Source organism: Homo sapiens, chromosome 13 (assembly GCF_000001405.40).
Source record: "Homo sapiens chromosome 13, GRCh38.p14 Primary Assembly".
Classification (NCBI taxonomy): domain Eukaryota; kingdom Metazoa; phylum Chordata; class Mammalia; order Primates; family Hominidae; genus Homo; species Homo sapiens.
The window spans coordinates 96,858,710-96,882,954 of record NC_000013.11 but is presented as its reverse complement, the minus strand read 5'-3'; positions in this window follow the sequence as shown (position 1 = coordinate 96,882,954).

Sequence of the window (24,245 nt, the reverse complement as noted above, 5' to 3'; positions counted from 1 at the left end):
TCAGTCTTTCTATTTACAGTTAATGCTTTTTATGTCCTGATAAAACATATGTCCATAAAATGACATAAAAAGCAAAAACTAGAAACAACCCAAATGCCTATCAACAATTTAATGGATAAACAAACTGTGGTATTTTAACGTAAATACAATAATAACAATAATAATGAAGTGCTGATACAACAACATAGATTAATTCTCAAAGCGTTGTATTGAGCAAAAGAAACAAGGTACAAAAGAATTCATGCTGAGTGATTCTATTTCTATGAAGTTCTAGAACATTCAAAACTAAAATATAGTTATAGAAAGCAAGGTGGCAGGGATGAAGATGAATTGACTAGAACGAGCATGAAGATGACAGGGTGATAGAAATATTCTAGATCTTGATTGGAGTGGTAGTTACACACATGTATGCATTTGTCAAAACACTTCAAACTACATTTAAAATCTGTGCGTTTTATTATAAGTAAATTGTACTTTTACAATTTAATTGTACAATTTAAATTGTACATTGTACCTTTAATTTAATTTAATTTGTACCTTTATAATTTACAATTTAAATAAGTACCTTTACAATTTGAAAGTATGTAAGGAAGGGGTCCAGTTTCAGTGTTCTGCATATGGCTAGCCAATTTTCCCAACACCATTTATTAAATAGGAAATCCTTTCCCCATTGCTTGTTTTTGTCAGGTTTGTCAAAGATCATATAGTTGTCGATGTGTGGTGTTATTTCTGAAGCCTCTGTTTTGTTCCATTGGTCTATGTATCTGTTTTGGCACCAGTACCATGCTGTTTTGGTTACTGTAGCCTTGTAGTAAGAAAAGCACACCTTTCTTTCTTAGAGAAATAAGGAAAAGAAAAAAAAAAGCACCCCTCCCCCTCTATAGACACCCATGAGGACATGCAGTAATTAGATAAAGAACTTGAAGCCATGACGTAAAAGTAGCGTGATCAGAGTGAATCAGGCTCATAGAAGCGAGATAGTATTTCATCCAGCTTTTCAAGGCGTATGAACATCTTCCCTCTGGAACACATAAAGACGTGCACACAAGTAGTGAAAATTACTTTCGATTGCCCTATAGGAAGCATCTAACCTTTAAACGTTTCCAGAGACTTGTGTGTAGGTTCTGCACCTGGTATCTAAGAAAGAGAGGCTTGGGACTGGGCAGACATTTGTCCAGCTGAAGATTTGAAGAGAAATCAAGTGTCAAGCACTATTTAGCACAAGCTATCTATTCTGAAGCCACTTAGCAAACAGGTATCGGCTAAATGACTACTTTGCTGTCTCAGGAGAATGGGGACAAAAATCCCTGAAGTGAAGCAGAGACAGGTGGGATTTCAGTGGCCCTTGCAGCATGACAGTTACATTGTTCTATGATTAGCCTTACACATGTCCAGCCTTAAGTGCAAACAGGAGCATTGTTGACATATTTTCAAGACTCCTCTGGAAGTGAATGTACTGGCTTTCAGCAAAATTTGACACAGCAGAGAATAAGGTGTGCTGTGCTCTTAGCTGCTTGAGAATTACAAATAGGTTTATGGTACAATAGATCTGATTTGGAAGCTACATAAAATGGAATGATCTGTAACTCTCATTAAAAACAGATATTAAGAAAATACAGCGTTCACCTACAGCCTTTGTCTTAAAGTTTGGATTTAGCAAATACTCATCATTATTCCTGCTTTCCCTCCAAGGCCTTGGGCCTTCCATAGTCAATGAGAGTTTCCCAATGCAGTCAAGTATGAACAGGAATAAGATGAAGCAATGAGCTGAGATGCAGAGCAGAGGGGATTCTTGGCACCTCTCTGCTGAGAGGCAATAGTTGGCTCTTCTGGTAGAGACTTTGCAGCTCATCGAAAATTATTTTACTGCTGTAAAGTGTTACCTGAAACTCCTCCACTGCTTCCAGCTACTTATCTTGCTTTTGCAGATATCTAGTGGCATTCTTGCAATCCACTGTTCTTAGCCACCTACAAAAGACAAGCTCCAAACAACTGCCATCTTCTCAAGTATTAGAACTACCACCATATGCCACAGATATGGAAAGCAATATCAGTAAATACTATTTATGTAAAGAGCTCTTGCAAATCAACAATGTAGCACAAAGCACCTAGAGAACCTAGAATATAATTTACAAAAGAAGAAATACAAATCTCTAATCTATGTTAAATAGGTTCAGGTGTCACTAGTAAGCAATTTAAGCACAAATGAACTAGAGCTTTTCATGCCTCAGATTGGTGGTGATTTGGAAAATATGAGTATATGGCAAGATAAGTACTTGTATGCACTCTTAATGAAACTGTAATGTAATGGAAACCTTTCAGGGAAGCAATTTGGCAGTATGTACTAAGTGACTTAAATTGTTTCATGTCCTTTGAATCAATCATTCTTCCAAGACAGTCAAAAAGAAATAAGCATGCTTGTAGACAAGAATGTATGCACAGGGATGTTTATCAGAGTTAGCCAAAACTGGAAACCACATAAAGGCCTAATAAAAGAGCAATGGCTAAACAATATATGGCATATTATGGAATATTATAAATCCATTATAATGTTCATGGATATTATGAGAAAAATATTCAAGAGATAATGTTAAGTGCAAAAATAGCATAAGTGAGCAAATCTATGAATGTATATTTCTCAGAACAAGAAGCCTCAGAGGTTGGCAATTCTATGAAAAGATGTCAGAATTCCAGAGCAGTCAGAAAAATAAGAATAAAAATAAAAATGAGATACTGATTTACAGGTACCATAATAGCAAAAAATTTGAAGATCACATGATACAAGGGGTCTATAATAAAGTGGGAAGATGGAGACTTGAATAACACTGGAAAGCAATATGGTAGTACTTAAGATAGTCAAGGTCCCATGACTTTCTAATTGCATACATGGATATGTATTGCAGAGACATTCTTACACAGGCCCTTATGAGGACACGTAAGAGATATCTGTCATGACAATGACTATGGCAAGGAGAAGTTAGAGTAACCTTCATGGTCAACACTGGAGGAAATAATAAGCAAAATGTAGTAAATGCATACTATATAATGACAAAAACTAGATGGTGCACACATCAATAAACATGAAAAACATAGTTTTCAGTGGAAAAAAGGGAAGGATAGAATGAGATTTTAGGAAAAATGAATATTAAAGAACACGTACAGGCCAGGCTCGGTGGCTCACACCTGTAATCTCAGCACTTTGGGAGGCCAAGGCGGGCGGATCACGAGGTCAGGAGATCGAGACCATCCTGGCTAACACGGTGAAACCCCGTCTCTACTAAAAATACAAAAAATTAGCCAGGCATGGTGGCAGGCGCCTGTAGTCCCAGCTACTGGGGAGGCTGAGGCAGGAGAATGGCGTGAACCTGGGAGGCGGAGCTTGAAGTGAGCTGAGATCATGCCACTGCACTCCAGCCTGGGCAACAGAGCAAGACTCCGTCTCAAAAAAAAAAAAAAGAACACATACATAAAGGAATGCAATATATTGCATATATCAAAAACAATTTATATCACTGCAACGTATTTTGTATATCAAAATTAGTAGGGAAGTATCTTTGTCAGAAAGAAATAATGGTAGTTGTTATTGTTATTATTATTTTATTGTACTTATAATAGAAAAGAGCCTTGCTTACATCAATGATCAATGACTAAGTATTCTACAACCAAAGACATGATGCATTCAATGTTCTGTACCTAAGTTGTTATGTTTTTTGTTTTTTTTTGTTTTTTTTTTCCCGAGACGGGGTCTCACTCTGTCACTCAGGCTGGAGTGCAGTGGTGTGATCTAGGCTCACTCCAACCTCCACCTCCCAGGTTCAAGCGATTCTTCGGCCTCAGCCTCCCGAGTAGCTGGGATTACAGGAGCATGTCACCACACCCGGCTAATTTTTGTATTTTTAGTAGAGATGAGGTTTCATCATGTTGGCCAGGCGGGTCTCAAACTCCTGACCTCATGATCTGCCCACCTCAGCCTCCCAAAGTGCTGAGATTACTGATGTGAGCTACCATGCCTAGCTCTAAGTTTTTTTTAAAGAGCTGTGTATTCAATTCATATCCCACACAGTCCCAATTTTATAGTAAATATGCAATGAAACAACAGAAGGAAAGAAAAACATTAAAAGGTTAATAATGGCAATCTCTGAATTTGATTTAATTATTTATCAATTGCTTTCTTTGTATTCGTAGCAAGGGTCCAAGCTCTAGCCTGTAATGAGCCCGCTGTTGGGATCTGAAGATGTTGATGCATAGTAGGGTGGGTTGCGGTGATGGGGTAAGGGGTGGTCTTGGTCCATTCAGACTGCTATAACAAAATACCATACACTGGGTAGCTTATAAGTAACAGAAATTTAATTCCTGGAGTCTAGGAATTGCAGGATTACAGTGCTGTCAGATTCATTGTCTGCTGAGAGCTTGCTTTCTGGTTCATGGATGATGCCTTCCTGCTGTCTCTTCACATGATAGAAAGGGCCAGGCATCTCTCTAGGGCCACATTTACAAAGACATTAATCTCATTCATGAGGGTTCTTCCCTCATGACTTAATCACTTTCCACCTCCTAATTCCATTGCATTGGTGATTAGGTTTTAACATGTATTTGGGGAGACACAAGCATTTGGATCATGGCAGTGGGCAAATTAAGAGTCAGATTAATTTTCTCATGGGAAAATCCCAGAGCTCAGGCACTAAAGAGGTAGCAAACATATTCTGAAGACCTGTCCTTTGGCATGGAGCTTAGGCCAAGGGGGATGGGAGCCATAGTCAGAAGACAAGAAGTTCTTTTCTAGTGTCCTATTGCCTCAGTAAGAACATATGGCTGGTTGTAGGGGGATAATGCTGGTCTCCACATTTCGGCATGAAACCAGTCAGAGGTTGAATTGCATCAAGGGTTTTTTGGCTACCAAAGGGTTCCGGAGCTCCAATTTCTTAGCGGGGGTTTGGGGTGTTTGGGGAGGTAGAGGGAGTGGGGCTCTGAGTGGTCACTTAAAGAAGAGCCCCATCCCATCACTCAGTTTTGTAGGCAGCTGACACAATTGAGGGTGACCATAGCTGTGGAAAGGGAATGGACGAAATGCCACAAACAATGACCTAAGCTATTATGAACATGGGTCCATGACTCTTGCTCTTTGGGATTCTGTGAGAGTCAATTCTACGTGTCAATGTGACTGGGCCATGGGGTGCCCAGATTGTTTCTGAGAGTGCCCGTGTGGGTATTTCTGAAAGAGAATAGCATTTGAACAAGTGGACTCAGTGAAGTAGATTGTTCTCTCGGTATAGGTGGGCATTATTCAATCCAATGAGGGCCAAAATAGAATGAAATGGCAGAGGAAGGAGGAAGTCACCCTTTTTCTTCCTGCTTGCCTACCTGAGCTGGAATATTCATTTTTCTCGCCCTTTTACAAAGACTTACACCACTGGGTCCCCTAGTTCTCAGGCTTTCTGTCTTGAACTGGAATTACACCACCAGTTTTCCTGGATCACCGTCTGACAATGGCAAATTGTGGGACTTCTTACTCTCCATAGTCATGTCAGTGCATTCCTGGTTATATACAAATAATTAGTCCTTTTCTCTGAAGAACTCTGCCTAATACAGATTTTTAACACAGCCTAGAAGTAAGGGGGATAGGAGAGAACAATAACTGTGCAGGGATTTGAGGACTTGCATTAAGGAGGATAAAGAAATCAGTGAAATATGAATTATTATTAGTAGGTTTTCAGCTTGCATGACCTGAAGAAATGTGTTATATGTTTTCCCTATTTTTCAAGCATTCTGTATATAAAGGAAATGTATTACTTTATAATGAGAAAATGTTACAATAAATTTGAAAGTAAAAGTCTCAAGTATAAAAGAAAAATGTGGAGGCAAGGTATTTGCAGTAGAAGTCCTGCTGATGTTTTCTTCTCTTTCCAGGCTTTTGTTGTCCCTGTTGGCCACTTCATCCAGGCTTTGTGCTGGAGCCTGGGAAGGGAGAGACGAAAAACGCTACTCTGTTTCCAAACTACCTACAGACTCTTCTGTAAGGCTCTCTAAATGTGATTATTCTGACATAAGATATTTTAATTCTATAGTTCAAGTTAAAGGACTATTTCTAGGGTTATAGATGCCACATCTCATAGAAGGCTGTACTCCCACACAGTGACTCTTAACAATTAAAAAATTATATTGCATATTGTTTTTCTTCTGCAGTTGGAAAGGACGAGGTTAGAAGTATCATGGGATAGTATCTTCCAGGAAGCATCTTCTGCCTAATTTCTTGGATGCCCTTGGTAAGTATCCCATAGTCCTCTCCCAATAGGTCTTTCACCCCTGTTTCTTCCCCCTACTCAATCCTAGACCTAGGGCAAACTTTGGTAATACTGATTGGCTTCAGGACTTTGCTCCCTCTTCTCTGCCTTTTTCACTTCCCTAGTCTTCCTCTTCCCCCATCCTTAGGGAGGTACCCAGTACTGTCCCAATGCCCTCAATCTCCCATTCTCACAACCTTCCCCCAAAGTCAAACTTTCTACCACAGGACTATGCACACCAACACATTTTCTCCCTCTACCTCTTCGTCTTAGTATTTCCTTGCAGAGCTGTATTTGCATTTTTAAGGCAAATATTATCACCTACGGATCTGTTAAGAATGCCATATATTTTACTTATTTATTTTCTGCTTCTCTACACATTCTCTCTCACTTCCCAACTATGATATAAAGTCCACAAGATCAGTGACTTTTGTTTCTTATTCTCTGCTGTAATCTAAAATCAGTGCTTTGCTCATACAGAAGATGCTTAATAAATATTTGTTGAAAGGATGAATGAATTAGTGAATTTGAGGGAAATAATCTGGGTAAAGGAAACTTCCAAGCAGCCCTTAAATTAAAAACTAGTAGGTGATAGGCTATTCCATTCACTTATTCATCAGATATTTGTAGAATAACCCACTAGTCAATCACTAGCATGAGGGAATCGTGGTCGATAAAACACAGTGCTTGCCCTGGAGGGGCTTAGAGTCTAGAAGGATAGAAAGATCAATGGAAGCAAAATAGTGTGGAAATCACTACAATTGAGTAAGTGTGGAGTAGAAGCACAGAGGAAGGGCACCCAATCTAATCTGGGGGGATTCCATAAGGGCTTCAAACATCTACCTGGGTTGGGACTGAGAAGTGAGTAGGAACAGCAGAAGGGTTTGAATTAGGGCACTTCTGGCAGAGGGAAAAATTGTGCCAAAGCTTGGAAGTGAAAGAGGGCAGCATGTTCTGGGCCTTGGCACTGTACAACTCAAGGTGGTGTTCTTCCCGTCGTGTTTTAAGTGAATAGCTCTTCCAGGCTCTATTATGGAAACAGCTAGTGGTGATGGTTGCACAACATCATAAATGCACTGAATGTCACTGAATTGTACACTTCAAGATGGTTACTATGGCAGATTTTATATTTATTTACCACAATAAAAACAATTTTAAAGTATATAGCTAAAATACATAAAAAATGTTATTATAGAGGTATTTCAAGGTATTAGAATACTGGATTTTATAACATTTGAGGTAATTTTTAGCTTTTATAATTTGTAATTTGCCGTGATTTTTTGTCTCCTTTTGAGTTAATTTTCATATTACAAAAATAAAGTGAATAAGTAATTGGTATAGTTGTTGCCCAAATGATATACTTGAAGAATAGCTAACTGGTAGACCTCCTCCTAGCATGTTTAATCCTACAGAAGCTCTGGGCTGTGAATACAAGTATCCTCTTTTCATGGGTGAACAAAGTGAGCTCAGCAGTTAAAGAACTTACCTGTGAGCATCTAATCAGAAGGTCTGCCTGATTTTGAAGACTGTGCTTGCCCTCACTGCATGATGCCACCTCCCATTTGAAAACTACTACTTTAGATTATTACACGGTTAATGAGAATAAGCACTGAGCACAGTCTATAATTTCTTTCTAAGTAAATATATGCAAATAACCAAAAATTTTAGACTGCAAACTGTGAACTTTCCCTCTAAAAGAAGGAGCTCCTACCCAGTCCTGGCTCAGCCACTAACTAGTTGCAGAGCCCTGGAAAAGCCATTTAGTTGCTTTGGGCCTCAGTGACAGCATCTGTAAAAGACAAGTCAATAATATGTATTGAGTGGCCACAAGGCACAAGACCCTGAGAGAAGATCTGAAGGATCTTGAGGTAGAGTCAAAAGCTCTGCTCTTCACAAACTCAGGATCTAGTTGAGGAGAACAGAGAGATCCAAGAAAGACGGCCGGGGCCTGAGGACAGAACTAATTCTGTCTGGGGAGGTAATACTAGATGAAGTGTGAGAAGGAAATTGATAGGCATGAAACTAAGTCACCAGGCTTTGTTTTGTGGGGGCTAGAGGTGAGGGCTTTTAGGAGCAGTCAGTGAAATCGGTTTTTCAGGTTACCTGGGTGGGTGAAACCCTGCCTTGCTCTCTTTAGTTGTCATCTCCATGGAGTACTCTCGAGTGGCTGTAGGTAACTTATGGGGGTCGGGGAGGTAACCTATTCTCCATCCTTTGCACAGTACATAGGCACACTACACACACCCCCACAGAAAGATGAAGTGCTTTGCTGTTGGTTCTCGATGGTGGAAAACCACTGTGCAGAACAGAACAAGGGTAGGAGGCTGGCAGGGAGCCTTGCAGACACTCTTACTTCTGTGTACTCCCAACCCAGGGTCTCACTCCCCCACCACCCTGGTGTCTCTATCAGCACATGGACTTTCCCTCATTCCACGATTCTCTGTAAGACTCTCTCTTTTGAGGCCCCAGCCCGAACTCTACTTGCTTTAACCCCTCACATTCCTCAGAGTCTTGATTTCCACCATTCCCTTGCTGGTCATTCCTCACGATTCCTCCTTCATCTTAGAATCCTTAGAGGTGAGTTGTGAGTCACTCTATTCCCTCTCCTTTTTGTTTCTGCAGTTGGGTTATTGGAGGTGAGTCTGAGGGAACTTTGAGTCTTGAGGGTGAAGTAAGCAAGAAGGGTCATTTTTAAAGAGGAAGATTCAGAATGGCAGCCTTTTTGATCTCCTCCTAATATCTAATTATATTCTAAAGTCTTAATATATTAACTTTGTCTGTTCCTAGTTCTTAATTTTTAAAAACGTGACCACTCAGAGGACCATAGACAAAAGATCCTACCATCTCAGATACAAAGGAGAGAAGGGTATTTCTGGTAGAGTGATCAGAAACAGCAAAGTTGAAAAGATGGGAATATCCATGACATCAAAGACACAGGAATAGTCTAATCTATCCAGTGAGTAGGGTGCTGCAGATTGTGGTAGAAAATGAGTCCTCAGGAGTAAATTAGGGCCATTCTTGAAAGGTCTTGAGTGTTACAATCAGATATGGTGGTCTTTATTCTGTAATAAATGAGAGGTGATCACTTAAAGGTTCTGGACAAATGAAAAAGTGATTATGTATTAATTTTAGTTAATTCTGAGAGTTGTGTAGAATGAATTAAAGGAAAGAGAATCTAGGAATATAATTTGCTTGTTTATTTAACAGTTAATTTATAAGTTGTCTACAATGTGCTTAGAAGTAAGTGGTGAATAAAATGGATAAAAATTCCTGCCCTCACAGTACTTATAGGCTATGAGTCAGAAGACTATTAGATTGTGTGGCCTTAAATGGAGCAATGACAGTAAGCATAGATAGGCAATATATGAATGTATTTGGGAAGTACAATTAATAGGATGTTTAAACTTGGTGTATTAGTCCATTTTTATACTGCTATAAGGAACTGCCCAAGACCAGGTAATTTATAAAGGAAGGAGGTTTAATTGACCCACAGTTCAGCATGGCTGGGGAGGCCTCAGGAAACTTACAATCATGGCAGAAGGTGAAGGGGAAGCAAGGCATCTTCTTCACAAGGTGGCAGGAAGGAGAAGTGCTGAGCCAAGGGCGAAAAGCCTCTTATAAAACCATCAGATCTCACAAGAATTTACTCAGTATCCCGAGAACAGCCTGGGGGAAACTGCCCCATGATTAAATTACCTCCACCTGGTCTCTCCCTTGACATGTGGGGATTATGGGAATTACAATTCAAGATGAGATTTGGGTGGGGACACAAAGCCTAACCATATCTCTTAGGGTATGGAAGAAGGTGGTGATATAGTTGATGACTTTTAACCAAGGTAATATATAGACAATAAAAATATTTTCTGTAGATTTCAGAAAGGTGTGCTGTAGATATACTCATATGAATATTTCATAGGGAACTCCTGTGGAGGTGTCCAGAAGGCAGTAGTAAATGTGCTTGGAGTTTTGTAGACAAGTGAGGTCTATATATTTGAAAGGTACCAGGATATAGGTGATAACTAAGGCCACAGGCAGAGATGGGGTCACACAGACATAACATGCAGGATAAGAAGATGAGAAGGTGAAGATCAGAAATTTCAAGGAAATATAGCTTGAGGGTCAAAAGACAAGAAACCGTTGAAGGACTGAGAGTGAACAATCACAGAAGTAAGAGGAGAAGCAGAAAAGATTGAGGTTTTGGAGCTCAAAGGAGGCAAGTGTTTCAGGAATGAATAGGTAAGGGATGGGAAGCTCAAGGTGACTCAGGAAAAGATCAAGCCAGTGTGGGAACTTTGAGAGAGCGGCTTCATTAGAGCAGAAAAATGCAGTGGGAAAGCCTAATTTTATAAAAGAGTTAAATAAAAGGAAGCTAAAGAAATACTACAAGCCATTTTCCAGACCCATATTTCTTAATTTGAGTCTAGAAACTGTACATTAGAAACACTTGTTTGAGTGTTCTGTGACTTCCTCTGCAACACTTATATAACAAAGTTCCTTCTCTATAATTTTCCATATGTATCCGGAGAGACAAATGCAGGAAGTGCAAAAATAATCTATCTTTTTCCCAAGTTTTGCAGGAAATGTCTGCTTTGAGAGAGGACTTCTTCTCACTCCTCAGAGAGCAGGGTGCCTTGAATTCTTTTCCCATTGCCCACAGCAATAATTCAAGAACTGCAGTGACAAATACTGTCCCAGCATCTTAGGAGATGGCATGGGCATGTTTCTCTCCTTCATAGTAGTAGAAGGAAGGGGCTTCAGATCAAAGACGAAATTCCAATGAATGCCTCTTTGTGGTCAAGACATCTAGAAGGACTATCTTGGCTATACTGACATTCCAACAGCAGTATTTCTGAGGCATCACAAATCAGTAAGTAGTCTTCTTTGGATCAGAATAAACTGAGTGAACCTTGGCTAAGTGCTCTTAACTGGACAAGGCCTACAGTAGATTTAAGGGATTAATAACTCAAACTTCCTCCTGTTCACATGATGACACAGCTTGACACTGTCATAGGAGCACCCAGTACCTCGCTTTGCTCACTCGAGTTAAATTGCCTCTTCTCTCCTCCCATGGTTATTTATTAGTGGATTTTCTGGCCAGCTCACACTAATTTATTTGTTTAAGTCTCCCCCATCTAGCTTTCCACAGAGCCTACAAAATTAAAAATTGTCAGTCCCCATAACTGCCTGACCTTTTCAATTGGAAAAGTTCAGATACTGGCCCACTGGGGCTAAACAGTAATTCTGCCAGAAGCAGCTGTGGCCTCAAAGAGTCAATGTAAATATTTCAACAGGTAAATAATCAGTCATAGATCTGGGACCAGGAAACTACAAATGTGGAGCAAGGCACAGAATCTCGCAGGTGGAGGAAATTTAAAAGGAACGCTATAGAAGTGACAACTCATAACAATAAAACCTTGTTTTTATTCCTATAAAACAAGAAAAAGAGCTTTAAGGTAAAATAATCCTACTTCCAATAAATGGCTACTTTTCTAGAGAACTCAAGATAAAAAAATGGAAGAGCATGCAGGAGACTCCATTCATCCGGACTTTACAATATGAGTGCTACATCAGCACAGGGGCCAATGGCCACAATTACTATTTCAAAACTATTCAAAAATGTTTTTTTTTCAGTCCTCAGGAGTTACTAGGTGATATGGTTTGGCTGTGTTCCCCCCCAAATTTCATCTTGAATTGTAGCTCCAATAATCCCCGTATGTTGTGGGAGACACGAGGTGGGAGGTAATTGAGTCATGGGGGCAGTTACCCTCATGCTGTTCTCATGATAGTAAGTGAGTTCTCACAAGATCTGATGGTTTTTATAAGGGGCTTTCCCCCTTTGCTCAGTACTTCTCTCTCCTGCTGCTTTGTCAAGAAGGACATATTTGCTTCCCCTTCTGCCATGATTGTAAGTTTCCTGAGGCCGTCCCAGCCATATGGAACTGTGAGTCAGGTAAACTTCTTCCTTTACAAATTACCCAGTCTCAGATATTTCTTCATAGCTGCATGAGAATGGATTAATACACTGTGTTATTCGGTAGCACCAGTAGAAAGGAGACCAAGAAATTCTTTAGTGAATGAGGGAAGAAAAATGAAGGTGAGATTACAGGTCTTGAAAATCTCCCAAAAGTCTAGTAATCAATAGAAATGAAAAAAATGGAACTTACTGTGGCTGAAATATTCATCATGAAAGATTTATAAAAATAGAGAGGTGTGAGAATCAAGAGTATAGAAAAATCTCATACATTTATGGCCAATTGGTTTTGACAAGGGTGCCAAGATCATTTAATGGAGAAAGCATAGTCTTGTAAACTAATGGTGCTTGGACAACCAAATATCCAGAAGCAAAAGAATTCCTACTTTACATCATATTAAAAAATTAATTCAGAAAAGATCAACAGTCTACATAGAACTAAAATCATAAAACTCTTAGAAAAAAACATAGGGGTATCTTTTGATCTTGGATTTGGCAATTGATTTTTTTTTATATGACACCAAAAGCATAAGAAGTAAAAGAAAAAAATAGATAAATTGGACTTCATCAAAATTAAAATTTGTGCACACCAAAGATTATTATCAAGAAAGTGAAAAGACAACCTACACAATGGGGAAAATATCTGCAAATCTTATATTTGCTAAGAGTCTAGTATATCAAATAATGTAAATAAAAACCCTTACAACTTACCAGCAAAAAGATAAACAACCCAATTAAAAAATGGGCAAAGGACTTGAGTAGACATTTTTCCAAAGATAACTTTCAAATGGTCAACAAGCACATGAAAAGATACTAGACATAATTTGTCATTAAGGAAATGCAAATCAAAACCACAATGTGCTACCCCTTTGCATCCATTAGGATGGATGCAATGAAAAATCCAGAAAGTAATACATATTAGAGAGGATGTGGAGACATTGGAACCTTTGTGTATTGCCAAGGGGAATGGAAAATGTTGCAGCTGCTGCAGAAAACAGTGTGGTGGTGCCTCAAAAAGTTAAGCATAGAATTACCATATAGCCAAGCAATTTCACTACTAAGTACATAACCAGAACAACTGAAAACAGACACTTCAACAAATACATTTACATGTATGTTCATCGAAGCATTATTCACAATAGCCAAAAGGTGGGAACAACCCAAATGCTCATTGCTGGAGGAATAAACAAATTCTTGCATGTACATGTAATAGAGTATTACACAGCCATAAAAAAGAAGCAGTGATAAACCTCGAAGACATTATGCCAAGTGAAAGAAGCCAGACACAAAAGGCTACATATTATATAACTTATTTATATAAAATATTCATAATACACAAATCTACAGATAGAGAAAATAGTTTGGTAGTTGCGTGGGGTTTTGGGGAGTGAATATTGAAAAGAGTAAATGCATAATGGGTACTGGGTTTCCTTTTGGGTGATGAAAATATTTTGGAACTAGAGAGATGATGCTTGTACCACATTGTGAATGTAGTTAATCCCACTGAATCGTTTACTTTAAATTGGTTCATTTTATTTTATGTAAATTTCACCTAGAAAAAAAATTTTTTGTCACAGATGTGTGGTTCACAAATTCAGAGGTGGTCCTGAATTCCAAACAGAACAACCTGCTCTGTTGTGAAGCATTCAAGCCTGTAATATAAAGAAACATGTTTCCACAGGGGTCGTCCAAAGAAATATGTGAAGTAGCTTTTGAGACCTTTCTGTTCACATCCCATCCCATAGAGGTTGTGGGTGGAATAGGAGAAGGTTCCCTCTCACCTGCATGCTTAGTCTCTCTACCCACCTCATATCCCCAGCAGAGCCCCAGGCTACTACCCTGACCTCTCAATTTCATCCCTCCCCTGAAAAATCTCACCTGTCTCTCATGCCTTTGACTTGGAACTGTGCTGAGGGACAACAGATAGAAACCAGCTCATCAAATAAAGCAGTGAGTTCATTGCTGCTATAGCTATGCACATATTCAAGTGAATTTATTATACTCATTCTTTAAGGTTCAGGTCAACCATTACTCCCTTTGGGAAGCCTTCCCAGTGCCCTTGGGCAGAATTACCTCTTCTCTGTGCTAGCTCAACTTGTTAATGCTATTGTTCTCATTTTCTATACTGTCCGTCCAGGCTGAGTGCCCAGCAGTTTGCCTGGCATATAAGGAACACCAACACAATGCACTTAGATGGAAACACCCCTGCCAGGTGATGTAGTGACTCAACTCAGGAAAAGTATAATTGTTACTTAGTAATACACCTATCTGTGTGAGTCTGTGTGTGTGTGTGTGTATGCACATGTGTTTGTGTTTTGGGCAGAATGTATTTATTTGTGGAGGGTGCTTCATGAACATCAGCCACATCATCTGACCAGATGACCAACCACCTGTCAATGCCTGTGGGTACATCAGTCCTGCTGCCACAGAATCCATGCCCTTTAAAGAATAAATTTATCATTCAGAAACCAATTAATTTAAATAAATTCCATCCTCAGAATAAGCTGGGAGCTGCTTTCTTTGATGCTGGCTCTTTGAACTGAAGGTGATGAGGGGCTCTTGAAAAGTGTTCCACAAACAACCGGTTGCTGGTTGCTGGAGCCTGGAGGAGACCAAGAGGTTGCAACAGGGGAAGACAAGGGAGGCCACCTGCCACTCTGTACCTGGCTATGATTCTATCACCCCAGATGGGCTAATGAGGGTCTTGGAAGCCACAAGCCCCTGGCAGCTTTCTTCTGAGAGGAAGAACAGGAAAAAAGGAAAGAGTGGGAAAAGGGAAGAAAAGAAATACAATCAGTAAAGCAAAACCATCTTTTCCTCTCTAAATCCAAAGTCAACCCAATTGCTTATGTCTTTGTAATAGTTATTGAAAAATGTCCAATTTTTCTGAAAAGTGAATTCAGAACCTTGTGAGGAATGTCACTGGTGGCAGTGGGAATATAAGAGGGTGCGGAAGACTTAGGGGCACCTAGGCTGAGCTAGGTCAGGAAAGCATCCACTGCAAGCACCCAGCCCAACCCTGGTGCTCCATAAAGTACAGCAAAGACCAACTTATTTAAACTAAAATTTGAGGTTTGAAATGTTCCCATGTCTCCTAACATTGCTGCTGCTGATGCCCATAGCACACTTTGGTTCTAAAACTTCCAAATACCATGTAGTTTATTACCTCTAATAACCCTGTAGAGAGGACTCATCTTATGTGTATGTTTTGCTGGAATGTTCTGCAGTTGTATTTATTGATTACCTGTGTTGGGCTTCACCTGCCCAGGCTACGGAACAGCATTTCATTATATGGCTTCCTCTTACCTCATCTAGTTAACTGCTCTTAGGAAAGCCACTATGGAAAAAACCTTAATAAAGTTTGTGATGTTGAATAAGAAAAGATAAGAAGAAGCTGGAGTTACTTGGGTTGGGGATACTTGGCAGTGTGAGCTGCCAATAAGTGGGTGCATAGTGAGTGCACAATTTTAAAACAATAGTAAAATTAACATAAAGCCAGCCATTTTATTATCACCTTGTAGTTACAATTCTAAAACATATCAATGTTAAACACTATCCCCTGCCAGGGCAGCTCTTTCCCTCCTCCCACCCTCACCGCCTGCTTGGTAAACCATTGGCTTGAGTGTATAAACATAGGTACCATGTTCCTGGACTGCTCATTGTAACAATTTTTTTGCTATAGAAGCAGAATACTAAGGAATTCAATACAAAGGAAACTTCAATACCATTTAACTGCATCTCTTTCATTTTTCCTTTGTGCCCCCTTTCATAAAACAAAAATCTGAGTGGCCACTGCTAGGGATCATGTTTAACAAAACACATCTTTGCCCTCCATAAGTTTGTAAGTCAGAGAGTGGTTAATGACTTTCTGAGGTCACGGAAATGCTGAGGGGCTGAGTTAGAGAAGAATCTATGATATCTTCACATGACCTTCCTTCCCCAAAGGGTATAGGGAAGCTAGAGACCATGAACCACAGAAATGGCAGGGTCTTGTCACATCTTCAAACCTTCAACAACCCAAAAACATAAGCTTCAAATGCCTGGTTTTGCTTTTCCTCCTTAGTGTGTGTGTGTGTGTGTGTGTGTGTGTGTGTGTGTGTGTGTGTAATTTCCTGGATTTTTGCAATAGCTTTCCTCATCCCCCACCACTTAGTATAGCGATTTCATTCCAGCAGCACAATTGCATTTTGAATTTTGTGCTTCAAAGTTAGTACTAACAGTTGCCTCCCCAGGTGCCTTGAGGAACCCCCTCAATATCACCTCAAATAACTTTTAATTGAATCAAACTCATTCATTCCTGACTTATGCTTTGTGCTTTTGCCTTCTATATCTAAAGTTCTATTTATAAACTGTTTAGTCATATGGGCTACTGATTTGGAGCCTAATTAGAGCTGTGTGATACAATATGGTTGCCCCAAACATTTGCATCATTCTCGTATGAGGCAGGCTAATTAATTGTCTGAGAAAGACCAATTGCACCTTCCCTACAGGTTTGCCTGTTGATTCCATCTCACCATGCAGATGCATTTCATCTAAAAACCCCAAATCACCTACTATTCCTTGGCCATTTCTCTTGGATTAATGGTGGAGTTGTGTGTTGCAATTGAGGTAGGTTACCCCAGCTCCACACACAAGCCGGTGGCCATTGGTGACTCTAGACATACTTTGTACAGGTCTTGAGTCAATGCAGTGGGCTGTCACCTTATAATCTGCTGGTGGTATCAGTAGTCAAATGAGCAAGCTCATTTCTCCTCCCATTTTGAATAGAAGCCAGAATTTTTATAAAAGAAAGAATAAGAAATAGAAATCAAGTAGAAATTCAACCACTAGAGTCAAGGGCAAGCAAAATTGATTTTAAAGGGCTGGCTTCAAGCCACGGAAACAAGGAAAGTTGAAATGAAAACTGTGCTTTTCTGGTAAAATTGCATCAACTACTAAAGGAAAGGTATATAATGGAAAAGTAGACCTAAATGCTTCATGTTTAGCATGCCCAGTGTACTTGAAACTAAGATAGCAACACACCCTTTAAAATTAAAGAAAAATTGCTCCCAGAATAGTTCTGTCTGCCTGAAATGTAAACAGAGGTACAAAAATCAGGGCAAAATGAGAGAGTGGTGAAAAGAAAAACACAGCTAAAATCCTGCAGTTACACATTTTTAAAATTTGATTTCTCTAAAGTAATATAATTTGCATTGTGTGAACAGGCTGTCCAAATTTAGACACTGCAACCCCACTTACAATGAACCATAAACAATGTAAGATATATTGAGTAGCCTAGTTCCAGAGCCAGAATGACTGAGTTCAAATGTTGGCTTTGCCACTAACTAGCTGTATGACCCTTGGCAAATTATTTGACTTCTCTGAATCCTAGTTAATTAATCTGAAAAATGGGAAACACAATAATATTATTTAAGTCATAGTATACAACATGAGTTACATATGTGAGATGTGTATGGGGAGTATTTGCACACAAGTGCTACACCAAGTGTTTGCTATTTTCATCATTCAATATTATTTTTAGTTGCATTTCCTGGTTATCTATTTCATTTCCCTCAAACATCAACAGAAAATATCAGTGTAGGAAAACAATGCCTTCTTATTTATACTAATGTTATATGCAAATACTAATTTCAGGTAAATTGTAGATGTAAATAGTAATACATCTTATAGAGGAAAATGAAAAAAGATCTTCAGGACCATGGCAAGGCAAAACAATTTTGAGGCAAGGCGTAAAAATTACTAACCGTAGAAAAAGAACACTGAAAAACTGGGCTACCATACTTTAAAATTAAGAATTCCTGTTGATGAAGACAAATTGAGAGAGGAAAATGCAAGCTGCGTGGTGAAAAAAGATAGTTGTAATGCTACAAAGGCTTCTTATCCAGAATCTAAAAAGAATCCCTACAACTCAACAAGGAAATATCAGATAATACAATAGAAATTGGATGAAAGATTTGAAGAGGCACTTTGCAAAAGATAATATCCAAATGCCTGACATAAAAAGGTGTACAACATTAGTAGTCACCAGAGAAATGTACATGTTAACCAAGTGAAAATTCCTCATATAGCCAACCAGGATGGCTACAATTAAAAAGGTGCAAAACACTAAGTGTTGGTGAGGATGCTGATGAAATAGAATCCTTATACATAATTTTTCAGAGTGTAAAAGGGAAAGCATTTGGCAGTATTGACTGAAACTGAACCTGTGCCCACTCTGTAACAAAACAATTTCACTTGTGGATTTTTATTCCACAGATACATACCCCTAGATGCAGATAAAAGAATGTTTGTATTAGTATTATTATTAATGACCCCAAACTGGAAACAACCCATATTCTAATAGTATAATAAATGAATAAATTATGATCATTTATGATATGCAGCAAAAAATGAACAAACGACTGTTACACAAAACCATATAGGGAAATCTCAAAAAAGATTAAATACAATAAGCCAGACACATAAAAAACAAGCATTTATGTATGACTCAATTTCTATAAAGTTAAAAACAGACTAATTGATGGTGATAGAAGTTAGGATGGTGGTTATTTGTGGGGAAAGGGGTTAGTTACTAGCAAGGGCAAAAGGGGGAGCCTGGTAGTAATTAAGTAAAATGTGTGATGTCTACAATGTTGTGTTGTTTTGAAAATTCGTTGAGCCATACACTTACAACTTGTGCACTTCTCTATAAATATGTTATACCTTGCTATTAAAAATATTAAGGCTATGAGGCCAGGTGTGGTGGCTCACACATGTAATCCCAGAACTTTGGGAGGCTGAGACAAGTGGATCACTTGAGGTCAGGAGTTTGAGACCAGCCTGGCCAACATGGTGTAACTACATTCCACTAAAAATAAAAAAAATTAGCTGGGCATGATGGCATGCGCCTGTAGTCTCAGCTACTCTGGAAGCTAAGGCAGGAGAATCGAATCTGGGAGGCAGAGGTTGCAGTGAGCTGATTGTGCCTCTGCACTCCCGCCTGGGTGATAGAGTTAGACTCCATCTCAAAAAAAAAAAAAAAAAAAAAAAAGAAGGCTCTGAAAGCTAATGAATAAATTTGCCAAGTAACCAATTTAACCCCTCAAGTGTTAGTATTTGGTTATTATCTATTTACATTTAAACTAAACTATGTGTGTGTGTCTGTGTGTGTGTGTACACACACACGTGCCACTAGAAGTTACGGTCTATGAAGACAGGAATTTTTGAAGAGTTTGATTTGCTTACTTCTGTCTCTGGCCACTTCAACAGTGTCTAATATGTAGTAGGCACTCAATAAATATTTGCTGAATGCATAAATGCAAAAATGCCTTGCATTTGACAAATTAAAGGAAAGTTAATTTAATACTGTATTTGTGGGCCAGGAAACTAGAATGGATTTCTTCCCAGGAGGTATAAATATTATGATTGATCTACTTTTATGTTTCCTCCAGCCAGTTTTTCTCAAGCAGTGTTCATAATTGGAGAGAGTGATATATGAGTAGCAATCAACAGTGGGACCCAGTGTGCAAGGCCATGAAACTTAAAGGAAATTAATTTCTGAGCCCACCACGATATCTCAGTATCCATCACTTAACAGAGCACATGCATTCCTGCAAAGACAATTCCAAGGCAATTTCTTTGTAAAAAGAAATCTGTTTTCCTATGGGAACTCTCAAAAGAAGTTGAATGGGGATTTTCACAGGAAAAAGTCTCACAGTAAATGAGAAGTATTAATAAAAATAATAAAAATTAGCATTTCTGTGAGGAAAGACAAAAGATGGTGGTTTATTTCATGACAGACAGTACTAGATATTACAGTACCTTAAACAATAAGAGCAAACTTTCTTGCCATTGTTATTTCCACCTTGTTTATTACTTATTTGCATAAGTTTTTCAACTTCAGCATCTCCTATATTCAATGATGGGACATATTTCTGTGAAATTCTGGCTTCCCTCCCTTTTCCTTAGGCTTAGGCATTTTCTCTATATAATGAAGCCAATGTGTATATTATGTTTCATCTGTATTAATACTGATGCCAAACTCTAGCTTGGAAATTCCTCAAGTTTGAAATCTAAGATCTCGTGAAATCAATTTTTAATTTGATAAATTCAAAATCGGGTAAATCAACCTCTATTTTCCTAATGGATGTATGGATATAATTTGCACACATCACAGATTCTAAAGCAATTAAGTCAGTGTTCCCAAGGGCATCACACATTCAGATCTTAGCATCTTAGGAGAGTGGGTCCTCACACCAGAGTCTGAACCCATGCTCTGTTACTCGTGCTTAGAGCGTGAAGCATGGGCTTCAGTTTCCTCATTTGCTAAAGAGGATGAAAATTCCCAGCTTGGCAGGTTTAATGAGCTAGTGTGTGCACACCACAGAATAGAAGCTCCATAAGTGGTATCATCTTCATCATCATCACATTATCATCATCATCATCATCATCATCACCATTTACATCCAGACAGCCAGAAAATAGCCCAGTGCAGTTATTGCTGGTTATTGTCTGGATGTTATAAAACTTGAATTTAGTTTAGCTCTAACTGAGAAGCAGCCTGCCCTGGTTCATTAATCAACTGGAGAAACCAGCTATTATGGATTCTTCTTCTGACCCTGTCATTGAAGAGCAATTCAACATCTGCTTCATATTTCCGTCTGCAAAATGGGGCTGACACCCACCGCCACTCACACAAGCAATTATTTCAGTACAGACAGTCCTCAAGTGGCTTTACTTATTTTTTTAACTTTATATGTTACAAAACCATTAACATTTTGACACAGCACTTTGAATTTTGATCTTTTCCCAGGCTAGTGATATGTGGTATGTGAGATATTCAATGCTTTATTATAAAATAGGCTTTATGTTAGATGATTTTGTCCAACTCTAAGCTAAGGTAAGTGTTTTAAGCACGTTTAAGGTAGCTAGGCTAAGTGATGATGTTTGGTAGGTAAGGTATGTAGTTAACCATTGAATAACATGGGAGTTAGGGGGGTTGACCCCTCATGCAGCCCCAAATCCACATATGTAACTTTTGACTCCCCCAAAAACTTAGCTACTGATAGCCTACTATTGACCTTACAAATAACATAATTAATACGTTTTGTATATGTATTATATGCTGTATTTGTACAATAACATAAGCTAGAGAAAAAAATGTTATGAAGAAAATCAAAACTCATAAGGAAGAGAAAATGTATTTTACTATTCATTATGTGGAAGTGGATCATCATAAAGGTCTTCCTCCTCATCAACTTCATGTTGAGTGCGCTGAGGAAGAGGAAAAGGGTGAGTTGGTCTTGCTGTTTCAGAGGTGACTGAAGCAGAAGAGGTAGAGGAGGTGGAAGGGGAGGCAGGAGAGGCAGGCACACTTGGTACAACTTATATTTTAAAAACACAGTATAAATGGACTTGGACAGTTCAAACCCATGTTGCTCGAGGGTCATCTATATTAAATGCATTTTTGACTTCTGTTATTTTCCACATATGATGGGTTTATTAGGCCATAACCCTGTGGTAAGTGGAGGAGCATCTGTATGGCCCATCTTGGAAACTGGCTGTGGAAATAAGCAGAACCAGCCAGGCAGTGGGAAGGCAGGGAGGCCGTTGGGTTGCTGGTTGGAAGTTGGGAGCTGGAAACAATTCTCTCTAATCTATTGCCTGGAGAATACCAGGAGCCAGCTGGCCCAAGAAGATAAGAGAATTGCACTTCTCCAGGCTGGGTGGAACCATACCTAATACGTTGTTGGGAAAGATGCTTAGCAAGTGCTACTTTTACTGTGTGCCAAAGTCTGCATGCATTTCAGCTGGATTCCATTTTTTATCCTTTGCCACACTTTAAAAATTATTTTCTGCCTTCCCTGGAGGAAATAACCACAGTGTCTCTAGCTCTCCTCAGACAATTTGTCCTAAGTGTAAAGAATTGAAGTTGGGGGCGACAGTAGACATTGAGTTCACCAAATCCGAAGGTTTAAAGCAAGTGTATATTTTAAAAAGTGACTCCTTACGGAAACAATAGTAGCTTTGCATACATGTTATGTTGCCCCTCACTCCCGTCTTCCTCTGTTTGTCGGTATGCTTGCTCTTCCTGTCACACTCTGCCTTGATACAAAAGCAGAAGCTGGCAAACTGAGAAGAAGAAGGGATAGCAACTGGTCTCTTCTGTTGCAGAAGGGCAGCAGCATAAGAATGAAGTCGAACATTGTGATGGGTAATTTTATGTGTCAACTTGTCTAGGCTATGGTGCACAGTTGTTTGGTCAAGTGCCAATCCAGATGTTCCTATGAAGGTACTTTTTAGATTTGATGAACATTCAAACAAGCATACTTTGAGTAAAACAGATTACCCTCCATAATGCAGGTGGCTTCATCCAATCCGTTGGAAGCATTAAGAGGAGAGACAGATTTATTCTAAGACTGCAACCTAGAAACCCTTTCTGTGTTCCCAGCCTGCTGACCTTCGGATTTCAGACTCAAGACTGCAATAGCAACTCTTACATGAGTCTCCAGCTTTCCAACCTACCATACAGATTTCAGCAGCTAGCCAGCCCCCATGATTATATGAGCCAATTCTTAAAATATTTCTCTCTCTCTGTCTTATTCTCTTTTTGGTTCTGTTTCTCTAAGGAACCCTGGCTAATACAAGCATCTCACTCTTACTGCACAGGGCAGATATGCTGCTCCCTAGGAGGAGTGGTTGGATGGCTGACAAAAGATTGTCCATCCCCAAATATCCCCCCTCCTTTATTTATCCTGCAGTCTACCAGCTAACCTGCACATTTGTTTTGGAAAATCACTAAGAGGACATTACTGAAGTCCACAGAAGCAATCCTGTCCTTGAGGCCATTAGTTTGGCAAATTTCTCTGACTAGTCAGCTGGGCCTTGGATCCTGAAAATAGAGATATAATATCGACTCCTGAAAATGGAGTTTAATTCTGATACTCAGAAGATCTGAGGGGTAACGGCAGATAAGGGTGGTCTAAAAGGTAATGAACAGTAGCTGGAAAAGATGCCTAAGAGGAAGGTGAAAAGATACAAGGAGAACAATTTGTTATGTTTAATATTATTAATAATAATCAGCATTATAGTATTCGTAAACCCCAAACTAGGCATGTAGTCGTTGCAATACAAATCCCAACTCAAGCACATCACATATGCAACAGAGGTGAGCTGAATGCCAAGATCTCGAAATGGGAGCTGCACATTCACAACCATTTCTAGCTGCTGAGTGCAGCAGTAAGCCCAGATACCCTCCCGACCCTGCATAGGCAATACTCAGGGCCTTTCTTTTCCTGATATGGGAAGAGATACTTCAGGGTATTTTGGCTTTAAAAGATCTACCCAATTTCTCCTCTCCCAAATCCCATATCTATGGGAATATAGACTTTGTACTGCCCTGGGTTCTTTTCTTGGCAGTAAATTTTTTTTCTCCCAGTACTCAATCTTTGGTTTCTTAACATTCCTTTTCTTTTAAAATGCAATTACAATTTATTTAATTTCTATTCTCTTATTCTCACTATGGCCCTTTGGAGTAAATATTGCTCCATTTTGCAAATGAGGTAACTGAGGCTGAGTTTGCTCAAGTGTCAGGAGCTAGACTGGAGCCCAGCTTGGTTAAGTGCTGGTATTGTGCTGACCTACGAGGTTTCCAAAAACAACAGCCTAAGAAATGGCACCTTGGCCTAAGAGGGGCTCTGCGGCAGGGCCCCAATACACAAGTGGATATGGGAGTGATTCAAAATGAAAACCAAGGGGCTCTTTAATCCATGAGTTTACATGCAGACATGATATTAATGGCATGATAACCCAAGAATACTAACTCATCGCTCCTAATTAGACTTTGCATGTCTTTACTCTTTGACAGATGCAAAGAATTTCAAAATACAATTAAACTTTCCAATACCCTTGTAAGGAGGTGGCAACATATTCATTTTACAGATGGGTGAACTGAGGCCAACAGAGGACACATCTCTGAAAGTTAACTCATGACTCTTGAGAAAGCATTCAGGAAA